The sequence below is a fragment of the Homo sapiens genome, chromosome 2 (assembly GCF_000001405.40).
Source record: "Homo sapiens chromosome 2, GRCh38.p14 Primary Assembly".
Classification (NCBI taxonomy): Eukaryota; Metazoa; Chordata; class Mammalia; order Primates; family Hominidae; genus Homo; species Homo sapiens.
In genome coordinates this window covers 236,447,402-236,465,145 of record NC_000002.12, presented here as the reverse complement: position 1 = coordinate 236,465,145, position 17,744 = coordinate 236,447,402, and the positions used below count along the sequence as shown (strand labels likewise).

The 17,744-nt window shown below is 43.0% G+C and overlaps 1 protein-coding gene across 10 annotated transcripts in view; it reads left to right on the top strand.

The window, feature by feature from the left end:
* DRC11 (dynein regulatory complex subunit 11) overlaps positions 1-17,744 on the top strand; it is a 200,792-nt gene that overhangs the window by 42,331 nt on the left and 140,717 nt on the right. The window lies entirely within an intron of this gene.

Sequence of the window (17,744 nt, the reverse complement as noted above, 5' to 3'; positions counted from 1 at the left end):
GTCCCTCTCGGTCATAATCCTTTGAGGCAGCTGCTGATTCCTGGGACTAGACACCTGGCCACCAGGTCTCCTTGAATGATGGTGTGTTAGGTGGTTCTTGCATTGCTATAAAGAAATATCTGAGGCTGGATAATTTCTAAGGAAAAGAAACTTAATTGGCTCAAGGCTCTACAAGCTTTACAGGAAGCATGATGCTGGTATCTGCTCCTGTTTGCCTCAGGGAGCTTTAACTCAACTCACGGCAGAAGGTGATGCAGGAGAAGGCACGTCAAATGGCAAGAGCAAGAGCCAAAGAGAGAGTGCGGGGTTGGCGGCAGGGGGTGGTGCCACATACTTTTAAACAACCAGATCTTGCAAGAACTCACTCACTATAGCAAGGACAGCACCAGGCCATGAGGGATCCACCCCCATGACCCAGACACCTCCCACCAGGCTCCACCTCCAACACTGGGGATCACATTTCAACATGAGATTTGGAGGGGGCATCCAAACTTTATCAGATGGGTAGATAGGTAGTTTTGGAGACAAGGCTCCAGGCGTATTCATATTTAAGGGTGTTCTTTAATGTTCTTAAATGAAATGTTAAATGAGTTAAAACTTGTTTACAAAAGATGGTTTGTAAAAGGTATTCATCAGAGAATTTTTCTACACAGCAGAACACTTTGATGGTAACCTAATTAGAAGAGATTTTAAATCAATTTTATTTCAAGAAGGGAAGAAAAGAGGGCAGATTGTTATGATCAGTCCCAGGAGCCATAGAAGGCAAGCTTGCCCATCTGTTTTCTTGATGGGGTATTGCATCATATCACTTCAGGTCTCAAGATGCTCTGACGCCAACTGTGGTTAGGACCAGAGAATTTAAATGTTGGCAATAGAAAAATCAAACTTTCTCTCAAAAAGATTCTATTAAAAGATATCTGTGGCAGGCAGCCTCTAAGCTGGCCTCCAGTGATCCCTCCCCTGAAGTGTGAGCTATACCTAGTAACACTTCCAAAGACAAGGATACGGCTAGAGTGATGGGATATCACTTTCATCCTGCTCACCTTTCCTGCTCTCTCATTTGCCTTCTCCCTTGCTGGCTCAGAGTCAGCGACCATTGTGTCAGCTGCCCAGTGGAGAGGCCCACAAGGCAGGGAGCTGGAGGAGGCTCCCAGGCAACAGCCAGTGAGAAGCTGAGGGCCCCCTCCAGCAGCCTGAGAACTAAGTGCTGCCCACCAACCACAGGCATAGACTTGGAAGTGGATCCCCTCGACCCAGGTGAGCCATCAGATGAGACCACAGTCTTCGCCAGCACTTTCATGGCAGCCTTGTGAGAGACCTTGAAGCAGAGGCGCCCAGCTGAGCCACATCTGGTTCCCCACCCAGAAACCATGACACAATATGTGTTTGTTGTTTCAAGCTGCTAAGGCTCGGAGTGACTTGTTATGCAGCAATAGATATCTAATACATATCAATTACTTTTACAGTGATTTACAAAAACCTAAACTACTATAAACTTCTTGTGTTAACTTTATGTGGGATCCTAATACACTATCTCCTCAATAATACTTCAATTTTATATCAAAGTTTCTTTACGAATGTTTGCTTCAATGACATGTTTTTGACTGAGAGTTCCATCTTTTCCTACAATACAATTTTAAAAGTGATGACTTTTAAAAATTCAGAATTGATTACATTTGTGAGGTTTTCTTTCCATGTCTTATTTATCAGGTATATTTTATAGCAAAATGGGATATTTTGAATGAAGGGGTATTTAAAATGAGGAATTTGATGTTGTGTAAATTCTGTACTGTTAGTGATGAATGGAGACAGAGGGCTGCTGTTAATTGAGCAGACAGTATTGATGTGCACATACCCCTCTTTCTCCATCCCTTTTCTCCTTGCTTTCTGGGGATGGTTTCATGAGAGCATACATTTGTCAAAACTTATAAAATTCTATCCTTGAAATATGATCAGTTTATTATATATCACTCAGGCCTTCATAAAGCTGTTAGAAATATATCATAGTAATGTTAGTATATCAGCAAAAATGCCAATGCTTTCGTTCTTTAAAATACCATATTCTGTTACCCAGAATACCAAAACCCAGTTTTCCCGTGCTACCATCGTTCTCAGACTCCCACTCCTGCTCGTGGTATAAGACTTGCATCTTCACCAAAAATGGCTCACAGTAAAAAAGACAATAAATAAATAATTTTAAAAAGCAGTGGGGGAGGGAAGACTTGCATTTGCCAATTATAGGTGACTCTGTCTCTTCTGATTTAAAGTAGTCTCTTTCATGTTAACTGTCTCTCATGGGGAAATTTGAAGTCAATTTAAATGTCTCTCTTTCAAGAATCTTGCCCCATTTTTCTTCTCCTTACTGCATCTGACTGTAAAAGGAAATTACACCAACAGCTGTCGGCTGGGGCAAAGAGTGCCAGGCACACCGTTTCATACCCTGGTGGTTTTTTGTTTGTTTGTTTGTTTGTTTTTGAGGCAGGGTCTCGCTGTGTCACCCAGGCTGGAGTGCAGTGATGTGATCTCGGCTCACTGCAACCTCCGCCGCCCAAGTTTAAGCGATTCTTCTGCCTCAGCCTCCCGAGTAGCTGGGATTACAGGTGCATACCACTATACCAGCCTAATTTTATATTTTTAGTAGAGACAGGGTTTCACCATGTTGGCCAGACTGGTCTCAAACTCCTGACCTCAAGTGATCCACCCGCCTCGACCTCCCAAAGTTCTGGGATTACAGGCATGAGCCACCGCACCCGGCGCCTGGTGGGTTTCTACAGCCATGTGGTATGGCTGCACTGGTACGGCCCACCTGGTCTGTTGGGGACTTCCTTTGCAGCCCATGGTTTCTGCCACGTGTCCCCAGGCACTGGCCACCCACAATCCAAGCCTCTTGGGTCTGAGCCCGGCTCTGCTGGCTGCTGGTTCTCCCCCATGAGCATAGGTGGTACCAGGCCCAGGTCTCAGGGGCCTATCCAGCAGGTCCCCTCCATTTTGCTACCATCAGCCCCACACCATGCTGCCCAGGTGGGAAGATGAGCACCGCCTCGAAGTTCTCAGCCACCCCAGGGCTTCTGCTAGGGTCTCAACATTCACCCCGCTCTTTGACCGAGGCCCTTACAGGATGGGGCCCAAGGGCTCAGGGTCCCCACCCTCACTCCTCTCTTTCCTTCCCTCACCGTGCTGCCCCACTACTTTGTTGTTCAAGTTGATAGTGCTTTGTTATGAAAGCCCCCTGACTGTTCCCTCCCAGGTTCCTTCTGTCTCCTCCTTGAGCTCTGAGAGCCCCTCCACTTTGCTCCTCCAGGCAGTTTGGCACAATGATTAGGAATGCAAACTGGAGCCATTGCTTCCCACAAAATAGCTGTGTAAGCTTGGGCAAGTCATTTAGCTTCTCTGTGCGTCAGTTTCCTCATCTGTGATATAAGGACAAGAATTGTCCCTGTTTCATGGAGTTGTGAACAGATGAAGGGTGCTGAGACCTCAAAGTGTGGGCCACTGTCATTTCTCCAGGCTGTAACCACTGCTCACTCAGATGCCCCCTCTCTCATGTAAACTGCAAGTCCCATTAAGACTGTGCCTGGTACTAGGATGAAACTGGTATATAAATTTCATGAATAAGCAGTGAATGGTGCAAGCCAATGGTATTACAGTTTTTCATTCTTATTCAATTACATAATTGGGTCTGGAGAAAATATACTTGGGATGATTTTGTGCAGTTGCAATCATGGAAATGCAGGTAGAAAGGCATTGTTTCAAAAGAATTAAATCTTCTGATTAAATCACTTTGGTTTACACCTAAAACTTTCCTTTCCATAATTAACAAGGATTATATGCTGTGTGCTCAATGTTCATGAATTTCCCTTATCCGAAACTTTCCCCATTTTCTCGTGTGTCAGAGAATAGGTATTCAAAAATATATTTTCTGTAAATGAAATGATTCTTTAGTTTCATACAGCCAGGGTAAAATCTAATTTATTATTAAGTGGCAAAACCAAGTTGAAAGCACTATGTACAACTGTAACCCCAAATATGCTAAAATATATGTATTGTATATATTCACAAACACATTTAACTTACTAAATCTATGTTTGCAGTCCAGGCACGGTGGCTGACACCTGTAATCCCTATACTTTGAGAGGCTGAGGCAGGCAGATCACCTGAGGTCAGGAGTTCGAGACCAGCCTGGGCCAACATGGTGAAACCCCGTCTCTACTAAAAATACAAAAATTAGCTTGACATGGTGGCGGACGCCTGTAATCCCAGCTACTCGGGAGGTTGAAGTGAGAGGATTGCTTGAACCTGGGAGGTGGAGGTTGCAGTGAGCCGAGAATTCACCACTGTATTCCCTCCTGGAAGACAGAGCGAGACTCTGTCTCAAAAAATAAATAAATAAAATAAATATGTATTTGCAGATGGATGGAAATTTCAGGAAGGATACACTAGAAACTGTCAGCATGGCTACTTCTAGCCGCTAGAGTGGTGGGGTTACTTTTTGTTTCATATTTTTCTGTACTGTTTAAAGTAGAAAAAATAAGTGTTATTTTTATAATAGAAACCCTCATTAAAAAATATGAGGACAAAGAAAGGCCATCTATTTGGGTTGATTTTACATTTTTAAGACACCCTGATTTTAGAAACATCAATGAGTATAATACCTTGGGCACCCGTGGCAACCATCTTTTGACAAAAGGGCAAGGAGACGGGGCTGGCCGTGGATGTGAGTTGCTTCCCCACCTGAGGTCCTGGCAGGGTCATGGGAGACAGGAGCAGCTCTGGATATCATCCTGGGAGCACGCTCTCCGTTGTCCCAGCGTTTATGGACGCCCTTTGAAGATCCAGCCCTCACCGGCCTGTCCCTTGAGAACACTTTATCTGGTGTCCTTGACCTGACAGTTTGGAGTCCAGTTAGAGTCGTCCTCGTGGGTGTGCTGTGCAGACTTCACAAAGATGTAAAAATGCCTCTTTTTGAAGTAATGGAAGGTCAAGGGTGAATTTATTTTCCTTAATTGGATTACACTTATCTGATTGACTTTGATAAAATCCGTTTCCTTGCTTTTTTAAATCAAAGGCAAATAAAAAGCAAATATTGTTTTTTGAAACATGAAACACGGTCAGTCCTCAGGATAAATTCCAATAGGACACACAATGATGGCTCAACAAATTCTTAAAAGTTGCACTTAATATGCATTCCCACGATTTGGAATCCTTATGCTTATCTCATTGAGTCAGCACTTATAGTTGTCATAAGGGGTTGTTTTTTAAGTCAATTCTTACGTTATTGTATATGAAGTTTTTTTCCCAATGTTAAAAGTAATGTTCGTTGTAGAACATTCGCAAGATAGAGCTTAAAGAGGAAAATTAAAATCATCTGTGAGGATATAGAGATAGCTACCATGAAATTTTTTGATAAATTTCCTTCCAGTCCTTTTCTCTCATATATATACGTATATATGTATATATGTATATACATATATACGTATATACGTATGTATATACATATATACGTATATACGTATATACGTATGTATATACTTATATACGTATATATGTATACGTATACGTATATACGTATGTATACACATATATACGTATACATGTATACGTATACGTATACGTATACATGTATACATGTATACGTATACGTATACATATATACGTATACATATTTTTTAATTACAGTTTTAGGAATTCTTTCTCCAATTTGTAAAAATTTAACATTGAGATTTCGCTTGTCCTTAAAATATTCATCCAAGGAGAACTATCTTTGTTTTGATGGCCTCACTTTCGATTGCATGGATGCACTAGTTAATTAATTGATTATGATCTTTTTAAATATTTTACCAAATTGATAAAAGAAAAATGGTTTCTCAGTCATCTTTTAATTTGTATGTGTTGTATTAATAGGGAGGTTAAATAATCTTTTGGTTTCTTCGTTGCAAGCATTGTAAAATGCCCAGTCATTTATGGGCTTCCCTTTTGGGTGTTTTTTTCTTTTCTTTAAGTGATCTCTAAAATGTAGTTATATATGTATTACAGATGCTAAAGCTTTTTGAATTATTGTAATAGTGACTTCTCAGTTTATCATTTGCCTTTTTTTGTTTTTTGAGCCTCAGTCTTACTCTGTCGCCCAGGCTGGAGTGCGACGGTGCGATCTCGGCTGACTACAACCTCCAACTCCTGGGTTCAAGAAATTCTCTTGCTTCAGCCTCCCGAGTAGCCAGGATTACAGGCACCCGCCACCATGCCCAGCTAATTTTTGTATTTTTAGTAGAGACAGGGTTTCACCATGTTGGCCAGCTGGTCTCAAACTCCTGACCTCAGGTAATCCATCTGCCTCGGCCTCCCAAAGTGCTGGGATTACAGGCGTAAGCCACCATGCCTGGCCTTTTTTTTTCTAACTGACTTATAGGAAAGCCAGAAAGAGAGAGAAAGAAAGCAACAGTAAGAAAAATGATACTGTCCCCAGCAGCCCATTGCCCATTTTCTGCCAGCGAATGCCCCCTTGCTGGCTGGGAGCACCTGGGCATCACTTCTCTGATGCTGTGGGGTCAAATGAGGTGATGCCAATAAAATACTTGGGCCCCACAAATTACTTATTGGGGTTATGCATTTTATATGTACATTTGCTGTTTTGAATGAGGTTTTCTTCAAATATTTTCCTTATTATTGGTTGCATACTTGTATATAGTTTGTGCATCCCTAAGTGAATTCTCACATTAGTTCTTGTAGTTTTTTAGTTAATTCACTTGGATTTTACTTCCTGCCCCCACTCTGGTGTGTTTTCTCTTGCTTCACACTTAAGCTCTACAGGCCTAGAATTTTCTAGATTGTGTGATAGTTGTGTTTATTTTTCTTTGTACTGGATGAACAATTTGAAATAGCGATTTTTGTCAAATATTGCAATTTAAGGAACATGATTTGGGTTTGGAGATGCTTTAGTTGTTCATCAAGCAAACACTGATGCCCTCTACTTAAACCTTCGGCCCTACCTCCTACTCCCAGAGTCACAACTCAAGTGTGGGCTCCTTCCCTGTACCCCGCCCCTGGCCTCCTTTGTAATTAGAACCATTTTGGTGGTTGGACATGTTAGATGTGTATTCAACAATAATAATAATAATAGAGACTCACAATTACTGAGCACTCATTCTATAATTCTATACCAGGAATTTGAAGTGCTTTATACATTAACTAATTTAACCCTATTATTGGTTTGCTATTGAATTGTAACAAATGACACCAACTTGGTGGCTTAAAACAATAGAAATTTATTTTCTCCCAGTTCACAGGTCAGGAGACTGACATCAAGGTGCTGGCAGGGCTGTACTCCCTCCAGAAGCTCCCTTCCTTGCCTCTGCCAGCTTCTGGGGGCTTCCAGCATTCCTTGGCTTGTGGCCACATCGCTCTGTTCTCTGCTTCTGTGGTCACATCACCTTGTCCTCTTCTATGTGCGTCTAATCTCCTTCTACCTCTCTCTTATAGGACACTTAGGACTGCATTTAGGACATACTTGGCTAATCCACAATCATCTCCCCCTCTCATGGATCTTAATCACGCCTACAAAACCCCTTTTTCCATATATGATACCATTTACAGACCCTGGGGATTAGCACTCAGTATCTTTAGGGATCATTATTCAGTGTCTACTACAACTCTCAACAGCTCTATGAGATGAGCGCCATAATCGCTTTCATTCATGAATAGCGTTCATAATGAAGGAAGAAATTATAGACGTTTGTATTTGTCCAGACCAGGGCTGTGCAATAGGACTTTGCAGTGGTGGAAACGTGTTTGATGTTCAGTGTCTGGTGTGGTAGCCTCTGGCCACATGTGGCAACTGAACACTTGAAAGGTGGCTGGGGTGACTGAGGATCTGAATTTTTAATTTCATTTCATCTTATTTCATTTTAGTTTAAGCTTAGATGGCCCCTTGTTGCTAGTGGCTCCCATATTGGACAAAGCAGTCATGGGTACACTTGTTGTCAGAAAACATCTTGCTCTGATTGGTATTTCTCATGGCTTGAACTGCCGTCTAGGTCTCAGGATGTATCAATAAGCTTCATGTTAAAGTATCGTAAAGGGGTCTTGGTTGTAACTTCATCCAGCCCCTTGGTGTGATAACAGAGAAGCCTGAAGCCCAGGTGGGCTGCCTGGCCCACAGCCAGCCTTGGGACTGCGGGCTCCTGCCACTGAAGATGCAGCAGCCTCTCCTCATCTCCCCACGGGCTTTGGAGCCACCTGAGTGGCTGTCATCTCTGGACCCTGGGACTGATTCTAGGCCTCAGGATCTTTCCAATTGAAAATTCCAAATTGCACCATCGTGGAGCATTGCCATTTCTCCGCCACCTACGCTTGTTACTTAATTTGTTGAAAATATGCCTGACATCCAGCTCATTCTTCAGTGCAGAGGGAGGTAAACACCCACCCTCTACCCCACTCCCATCAGGTGCCAGCTCTGGCAGTGGCCGAGGGGCATTGCTAGTCTGATTTTAGCAGACTCCTTTTAACTCACGTAAGCTTGAGGAATCTGAAAGTGATGTAAATTAGGTAGCCACATTCCATCTTTTAAGCCAACACATAATCAGTCAGAAGTGAGGTGGCCTGGGAAAACTCGGGGGCTTGAGGTTATCGGGGTCCTCAGCAGGTGAGCCTGATTGAGGGTGTAGACCAGCCACCACTTTCAGTCTTGTGATGTGATGGTGTCTTCTGCATCTCTAATCAACAAATGCATTGCAAATGCCACACACATGCAGAGGGGCAGAGGCCCTAGAGCCAGGCTGCCTGGGTTCAAATCCCGGCTCTATCACTTGCGGGCTGCGTGACCTTGAGCCAGTTTCTTAACCTCTCTGTGCCTCTGTTTCCTCATCTTAAAAATGAGGTAGGGGTAGTAATAGTACCTACCTCATAGGTAGAGTAATATAGATTTGTAAGTATAAAGCCCTTAGAACAATATGTGGCACAAGATACACCCTCAGTAATCATGTTAAACCTATAGGAAGTCCATCAGATTCTCAGATAAATGACTTGCAATTTGGATGTTTCCCATATCCATAGTACCCCATATTTTTATTCTGGAGTCTGGGGCCTTTGTATTCACAGCTGTACACAGCTTCTGTGGCTCCCACAGTCAAAATGCTGCATTGCCGACCTACAAAAGGAGAGGCTGGCTGGTGGTGGAGGCGCGGAGAGCAAGGGCTGCCAGTGGTGGGGGTGGGCATGCAGCTGAGGGGATAATAACAGGGCAGACAAACTAAAAATTAAAAAAAAACAGCACGCAATGTGCTTGAGTCTCCAGGGCAGGTGAGCACCATGCCTCCAGATTGCCAGCAAATGCACATTCTTTCTGGAGGAGGTCTTGAAATGCTTCGTTATATTTTTGTTTTCATTTTAAAAATTAAGATACAGCTTAAATGCAGTAAAATTCTCCCCTTTCAGTGTACAGTTCTGCGAGTTCAGCTTTGTCGTTCGAAGGCTTGTGGGACCTGGGGAGACCTCCAGATTCCTTGTCTGTCATCTTCCCAGTAGATGCCAGTTGAATTTGAGAGCTAATCCACAAATAGCGAGAGCGACCATACTCGCTGTCCAGAGAGCTTCGGGCAATGGACAGAATGTCGCGTCTTCACGTTCCTCCCTCCACTCCAGCCTGATACTCTCCCTGCTAGTATCTCCGAGCTCTCAGGACTGCAGCACCTCCCATCACTAGTCACGACTTTAAAAGCTGGTCCTTTCTCTCAGATGAACTTGCATTTCTCTACTGCTCCTGCCAGGCAAGGGCACAGCACCAGGGGCTGCCCCAGGAAGCTGTCATGGGAACCCAAGGCTTAGACATGCTCAGTGGCTTTCTCAGGGCTCATGGCTCATAATAGGCGAGGCTGGAATTCATATTCAGGTTTCTGATTCCCACAACACCAAGTAGGTCTCCTCCTTCCGAACATGCCAGCAGGAATGTCCTTAGCCACGTGGTGCAGAGGAGTGGTAGGTGGTCAGCGTCATTTTGTTGGAAACAGATGGTGGTTGCACAAAGTCATGCAGCTCACTATGTGCCACCTAGGAACCTGGGTCTTTCCTAACTCCTAATTGCCTCTCTCCTACTTCTTAGCATCTTCATGCAGAGCATAGTGATGGTTCTGTGTAGTTAAAAGGAAAAGAGAAAAAGATGGAGGAGGGGAGAAAGAGAGAAGGAGAAGAATTGCGGGATTTGAGAAAGCTGGCTGTGGCTTGCCCCAATTATTTTACGGATGACAAAGCAGACTCAGAAAAGTCAGGTAACTTGGCTAAAAACCTGCCTAGTTACTGGCAGATTGAGAACTACAATCTGGGTGAGTAAAGACTTTTTGAAACACGAGCATTGTGTAAAACTAGAATTGTTTCTCAAGAGAAAGTTCAGAATTGTTCTCTCTGAGGACTTCTAAGGACATCAAAGGAAACCACCTGAAGGTTCACAATAGATATCTTCTGAGGACCATGGCTGTATGTATTCTTTCCCTTTATAGTCCAAGTTTTCTGCATGGAGCATGAATTACTTTCAGCATGAAAAAAGAGGTTTTAGAAAGACAGAGGGAGACTGATGGTCACATGCAGAGAGGTGAGTTAGAGGCTCATTATTTTGAATTCCTTGTGTAATTATATTTTTAGTAAATTCTCAGAAGCAGCTGTGATCTGTGGAGATGTGAACCATGTGTAGGTTACTCATATGAGAAGGAAAATAACTTTTTCTACTGTTTGCTTTGGTGGAAAAGATATTAGGTTGAACGGAGGAAGAGGTGGGATGAGAACTTAAGGTCCAGGCATTATTCACTGAGGCCTTAGGGACAGGTGCACAGCTCGCGTGAAATTACAGGTTTTGATGTCGGTCGTCACAGTAAATCAAGTTAAGAACATCCAGCAGCTCTAGGCTCTCTTGGTTTATCCGGGCACCAAGTCATGATGAAAGACAGATTCGGGGCTCTTTGGCAAATGCGCTGAATGGATTTTCTTTTTGTGGGCCCGCAGGCTGTCCCAGGTTGCACCCTTGGGTCCAGCATACCCTCTATTGTGCTTTTCTGTCCATCCCACTGGAATGCAAGTGATAAGCGAGCTCCCCACTGCTGCTGATGGGGCATGACCTGAAGAACCCATGGGCTAAGCAGTCACTGCTGCCCTCTGCATGCCATCCAGGGCAGAGAATCACTCTAAAGAGGGGAAGGACACCACTAAAAATATTAACACTGGGCCGGGCACGGTGGCTCATGCCTGTAATCCCAGCACTTTGGGAGGCCAAGACGGGTGGATCACCTGTGGTCAGGAGTTCGAGACCAGCCTGGCCAACATGATGAAACCCCCGTCTCTACTAAAAATACAAAAAATTAGCCAGGCATGGTGGCAGGCACCTGTAATCCCAGCTACTAAGGAGGCTTTGGCAGGAGAATCACTTGAACCCAGGAGGTGGAGGTTGCAGTGAGCTGAGATTGCACCACTGCACCCCAGCCTGGGCGACAGAGTGAGACTCCATCTCAAAAAAAAAAAAATTAAAATTGGTGCTATCCTGGGAAAGTGGAGGACCTCAAATCTACTGCATCTCTGCTGCAGTCACCGTAGCTGGGGAAGTAAGAGGACTTGGGAGTCATATTCTTTACAGTACTTAACGCATCTGCGGCAGAGGACAGAGCTGTTCTTTGGATATAGAGCCATTCGGTTTGTTCTAGCACGCTCTTAATTTCTGTGTCATTTGGAGATGTATGTCAACATGTATGTGTTGCTTTGAGCAGAAACAATCAGGCCTTTGTGTTTCATAAATATGATAGATATTCATTTAGCACTTGATCAAATAAGGCTGGGAGATCTTCAGAGTTTGCCTCTAGACCCTAAACTTGTCCTTTTCTTCAACTCACTCTTGTTGCTACTTGTAAAAGATTACTTCTTTTCAAAAGTAGTACATAAGAAGTGAATTCAAATGTAAATGACTGAACATTTTGCTAACCTTTCTCCTATGTCTGTTTTCCTAAGCTTTCTGGATTCCTGAGTTAGAAAAGGGAATGACCTGCTCCTATCAATGAGGAGGGGTTGCTGGGTGAATGATGGCGCAGGTTTTGAACGATGGGTCGGTGAAGAGAAAGGGATGACAGTGCCTTTAATGGGAAAATCTTTCTATCTCTTCCTAAGGTACTCTCTTCTTCTCTGGGTATTCATTTTTCTACACAAGTAAATATTGAAGAAAGGTGAAAATAAAGCATGCATCCCATTTTCTGAGTAGAAGAGTAACCAGAACCGAAATAGCCAATTGTGTGCTGAGTAATATATTGTTCCTTTTAATAAAATTTTTTTAAAAAAGGAAGTTGGATGGGGAGGTTCCTGTAGGATTCAAGCCTGAGGAGAATTCGAGATAATACTTTCCAATCAAGAAGGACACTTCGGTCTTGAGTGATAACTGCTAAGACTATCCCAGTAATAAGTAGAAACATCAATGAATAAATCAGATTTTGTAAGGTGCCGCTAAGAGGTTGCCTTGCTTCGCATAACACTTTTTCCTCCCCTCCTTTGAGAAATAGTGAGCCCCTCAGTTTCCCAAGGAGGGCCATGGTAATTAAGTCCATGTGCAGTCAATTGCCTTTATTGAGTGTAAGTGAATTTATAGGCAGCAACTGCCACCTTTGGAGGCTTCTGTGCAGTGGCACAAGCTGCTTTCTTTAGAACGCAGGAAAAATTTATGAGCCTGCTGACATTAATGGAGGTGGCTGGATGACTTGGGGGGGACCGGCTGGAAACCCCTCCATCCACATATTTTTCATACTTGATGAAACACAGATAAATCTCTGTCCTGTGAGTCTGAAATGTGAGGCCCGTTGAAGCTCAGTGTTGGACCTCAGGGGAAAGATTGATCATTGTAGTAGCTCTGCTTTCTAAATCACTGCAAACTCCAGAGATGGTCATTTTCACATTTGTGCAAGAATTTTTGACAATATGCATAAATTTTTAATAGGCCTTAACTTGACCAAATGCTCCATACCTCACATTTGCTAACTGAAAGATAGCAGGCATACGTGTTTCTCTTATCCAGCTTTTGCAAATAAAAGAATGTAAAGGCAGATGGCTATGTTGAATGTGTTTCTATTAAGAAAGTAACATTAATCATGGAATAAATTATGTAAAAAATTAACATTGCCCTCCCCAGCATTTGACACATGTAAATCAAAGAGTTTCCAGAGCTGAAAGGAACTGGAAATTGTCTACTAGGCATACATACTTATTTTTAAATAACTAAATGAATAAAGCTAGTTCAATTGCACCATTCTGCAGAGAGGAAAACTAACCAAGTTCCCACTGTGATACGATGATTTGCCCAAATCGCACAGCTAACTAATCAATGGCAGCTGCCCTGGGCTGCTTCCTTTCCAGTAAAATACAATTTTCATTATACATCTAGCCTCCCAACTGCTTCTTTATCGGGTGTAAAGCTTTATTTTAAAGTTTCTGATTGGAGCCTTCACACCCACAGCGTGGCGTCCTTGGCCAGTGGGCTCCACTGGGTTCCCCACCTGTGAGCCTTATCATTTTAAGTTCATACATAAAAGGCATTTGATAAAATTACTCGTCTTATTTTTAAAATTTTTAAATAGAAAAGATTAATTCACAGCATAATAACATGTAAGCTCGATTAAGACAGAGATTTTTATGTCTTCTGTTCACTGCCTTTTCCCAGAACAGTATCTGGCAAAAATAGTCTACAGGGATGTTATGAAGGAATGAATGAAAAACCAAGTATTTTTTAAACAAGGCAGCTATACTCATATATATCTATATATATATATATGTAAAGTGTTTTTGTTTTATTTTAAACAAGACAGCTATACTTTTTTATATATTTTTTAAACAAGACAGCTTAATGGAGAAATACTATAGGTCTTCCCAGGAAAGGAAAGGACAATGTAGATGACCTTTGCCCCTAATATAATTAGTGCCATAATATAAATTATTGGTAATACAATGACATGAAAAGGAAATAAAAATGAATACTTTAAAGAAAGTGGCAAAATGTATTTTTAACAATCAAGGATATGCTAAATATGGAAGAAAAGTATAAGAACCTTATGAAAATTGAAGTCTATGAGTGTTAAAAGGAAGAAATGAGAAAAGACTTGAATAAATGGAGAAATGGACTATGTTTCTGGTTAAATGGAAAGATGATAAATCTGCTCTAGGTAATTTATAGAGATAACGCAATTTCAATTAAAATCCCAACAGGATTATTTATTGAACTTGAAAACATAATTGTTAAAGTCATTAGGATTAAAATAAAATGAGAACAATAAGGAAGGACAAATGGCACTGGATAGTCAACTTTATTATAAAGAAAAACAAGGTAAATGCATCACACTGATACAAAAGCATAAACATACATCAGACAAAGTGGAGAGCCAGGAGCTGACAGAAATCGATGGAAATGAGTAATGTATGATAAATGAAGGTTAAAAACGTAGTAAGAATGGAAAATAACAGAGGTGCAGTAACTAGATTGCTTTAATTGTTAAAGCCAACAAATAGTAGAAAGCTGAATAGGCCGGGCATTGTGGCTCACGCCTATAATCCCAGCACTTTGGGAGGCTGAGGCGGGTGAGTCACGAGGTCAAGAGATCTAGACCATCCTGACCAACATGGTAAAACCCCGTCTCTACTAAAAATACAAAAATTAGCTGGGTGTGGTGGTGCACACCTGTAGTCCCAGGTACTCGGGAGGCTGACCCACGAGAATCACTTGAACCCCGGAGGTGGAGGTTGCAGTGAGCCGAGATTGCGCCACTGCACTCCAGCCTGGGCAACAGAGCGAGACCCCGTCTCAAAAAAAAAAAAAAAAAAAAAAAGAAAAGAAAAGAAAAAAGAAAGCCAAATAGAGAATGTAACTCCCCTAAAGACAGGTCACAATTTCCTAACTCTAGAAACAAAAATATTTTCAAAGAAAATTGGACCCATTCCACTGTAAAAATTATAAAGTCAATAATCAAACTCTAAAACTAAGACATAAAGCCAAACATGATATTTATTTTTATTATAAACCATTCTATTGTTTTATTTAATTACATAGTTCCTATTTGCTGTAGCAAGGACAATAATACTGAAATATATGTTTTTTAAATTAGCAGTCTTCCTCCCTCCAGTCGCATGCCTCCAAGCTAATCCAGGTGGACAGCTTCTCGCCTGTCTCTGAGCACCTGCAACTGTAAATACACACATAGGGGTTTCTCCTCCTGTCCCTTTTTCTTTCAACCAAAAGCAAAGTGGCAACTCATGTCTTTTCACAGCCTGGTTTTTCCTCTTATTATTTCAGGAAGTGAGCAGGCTTTGCCCAGTGTGCTTCCATCATCTGGCAAAACACTAGCTGGGGAGGGGAGGTGGTTCACATGTAAGGCGTCTCAATTTTCCCATTTAAAATAATGAGAAATAGGCCTCCAAGAGAGTGTTGCCTGCACAGAGCACCTGATTTTCAGAACAGATTGCTGCGGGGCTAGCAGAGATGCCTGTAAAGCCATAAACTAAACTGACATGAATTGAATAGAGTAGTAGTGTGCCACAGATCTAGCCAGGCCAGCAAGGCAGGCACACAGCCTCCGACAGTGCAAAGGAGGTTTCTCTGCCCCAGGGGAGTCCCAGCCCCCGCCTCCGGACTGTGGGGCTCGGGTGGAAAACCTTCCAGGTACGATAAGGAAATGGCAGCAACACGGCCTGAGTCACTCGGCTGCCAGGCAAACACCCCGTGGACAAAATAAAGTATTGCGGAGGCGGAGGCGAGAGAGTGGGCAGGTCTGGCTGGCCCTGGCTTCGTGACAGAATGGTGCCTTGGGCAGGTGCCTCCTACAGCAGAGTGATCCTTTTAAAACAGAAGACATGTCATGCCATGTGTTGGCTCAGAGTTCCCAGTTCTCTCGCTCAGAATGAAACCAGTACCCATACGGTTAGGTTCATCTATGTCCCAGTTTCCTAGTGTCAGGCCCAGTTTATGTTTGATTAATAACAGCACCCAGTGGGTGTAGTGGCTCATGCCTGTAATCTCAGCACTTTGGGAGGCCGAGGCAGGCGGATCATCTGAGGTCAGGAGTTCGAGACCAGCTTGGCCAACATGGTGAAACCCCATCTCTACTAAAAACACAAAAATTTGCCAGGCGTGGTGGCACGCACCTATAATCCCAGCTACTCGCGAGGCTGAGGTAGGAGAATCGTTTGAACCCGGGAGGCGGAGGTTGCAGTGAGCCGAGATCACACCACTGCACTCCAGCCTGGGTGACAGAGCGAGACTCCATCTCAGAAAAAAATAAAAAATAAAAAACTAACAGCGCCCTCTGTCATTCTTAAAGGTGCCCTGGTCTAGACATGAAATTCCATGGCTCCCCCACTTACAACAGTCTGCGTGATAGTCTCTGCCCCGACCACCAGCCTTGTCCCGCTGCCTTACAGCTGCTCTGCTCTCCTGGCTGCACCTTGGGCCCTCCGGAGGCCTCCTCCTCAGAGCCTGTGTCCTTGACTGAAAAATAATAATAATAAATACAGCCAGGCATGGTGGCTCATGCCTGTAATCCCGGCAATTTGGGAGGCCAAGGCAGGCAGATCACTTGAGCTCAGGAGTTCGAGACCAGCCTGGGCAACATGGTGAGACCCCGTATCTACTAAAAATACAAAAATTAGCCAGGCATGGTGATGTGCGCCTGTAGTCCCAGCTACTCAGGAGGCTGAGGCAGGAGAATCGCCTCTGCACTCCAGCCCGGGCGACAGAGTGAGTGAGACTCTGTCTCAAAAATAAGTAAATAATTAAAAATATACTAAGTGGCACATTCCTTCACTTGCTTTAAGGTTTTGCTCAAATGCCATCATATCAGAGAGGTCCTCCCTAGTTATGTTGTATAGTATAAGTTTTTCAATCAAATAAAATAATTTCCCTCTCATCTTACAGCCAGTGGTCTTACTGAGGTGTGTATCTTTGGGGTGGAGAAAAAGGGGGATGTTAAGCTTTGAGGGGATGATTATCTCAGTTTTTCTTTGCAGTTTGTAAAGTATTTTAATAGATGCAGAGATCTTTCCTAATTAAAACAATTTTAACACAAAATCCTCTGCAAAATCATTGTGTTAAATATGCTGCTTTTTTGCATAATAATTATTTAAATTGCAGCTTTCCCTCAATTATACTTCGAATCTTAATTCCAAAGCCACTTGATTATCTGCGAACTGTTTTGCTGATTTACAAAGTTGACATGCAGCATGTGCTACAATGTCATTCCTGAATCCACCCTCCCCCACCCTCCCCTGGCCAGCTTTCATTTGCTCTCAGATTGCCGCAACAGGCAAGGTCCAAGCCGACTCCTCGATTGGGCATCCAAACCACCAAATGGAACCAGCGATGCAGAAAATGGAACTCATCACGTGGTCACATGAAAAATATAACCTGGACTATCTGTGTGAGGACTCTCTCATTTCACCCAAATCTACAGAACAAAACAGAAGAGGAGAAACAAGAAAGGCAAAGGTCACCCAGGAACACAAAGTGCGGGAAGTGGATGCTGATTTGGTAAGACCGTTGTAGGTTTCTCAGGTATTTCCGAACCATTAGTCAACATTTGGTCACCTACAAGTGAATGCTGGTGCCTTTCTTAGGAATTACACTCCTCTGTAGGAGTGATCCTCTTAAAACGTAAGTCCCATCATGTGGCTGATGCTGTCATGGAGGAGATAAGGAAATCTGTAACACAGTGGCCCCCAACCTTTCTGGCACCAGGGACCTTTCTGTC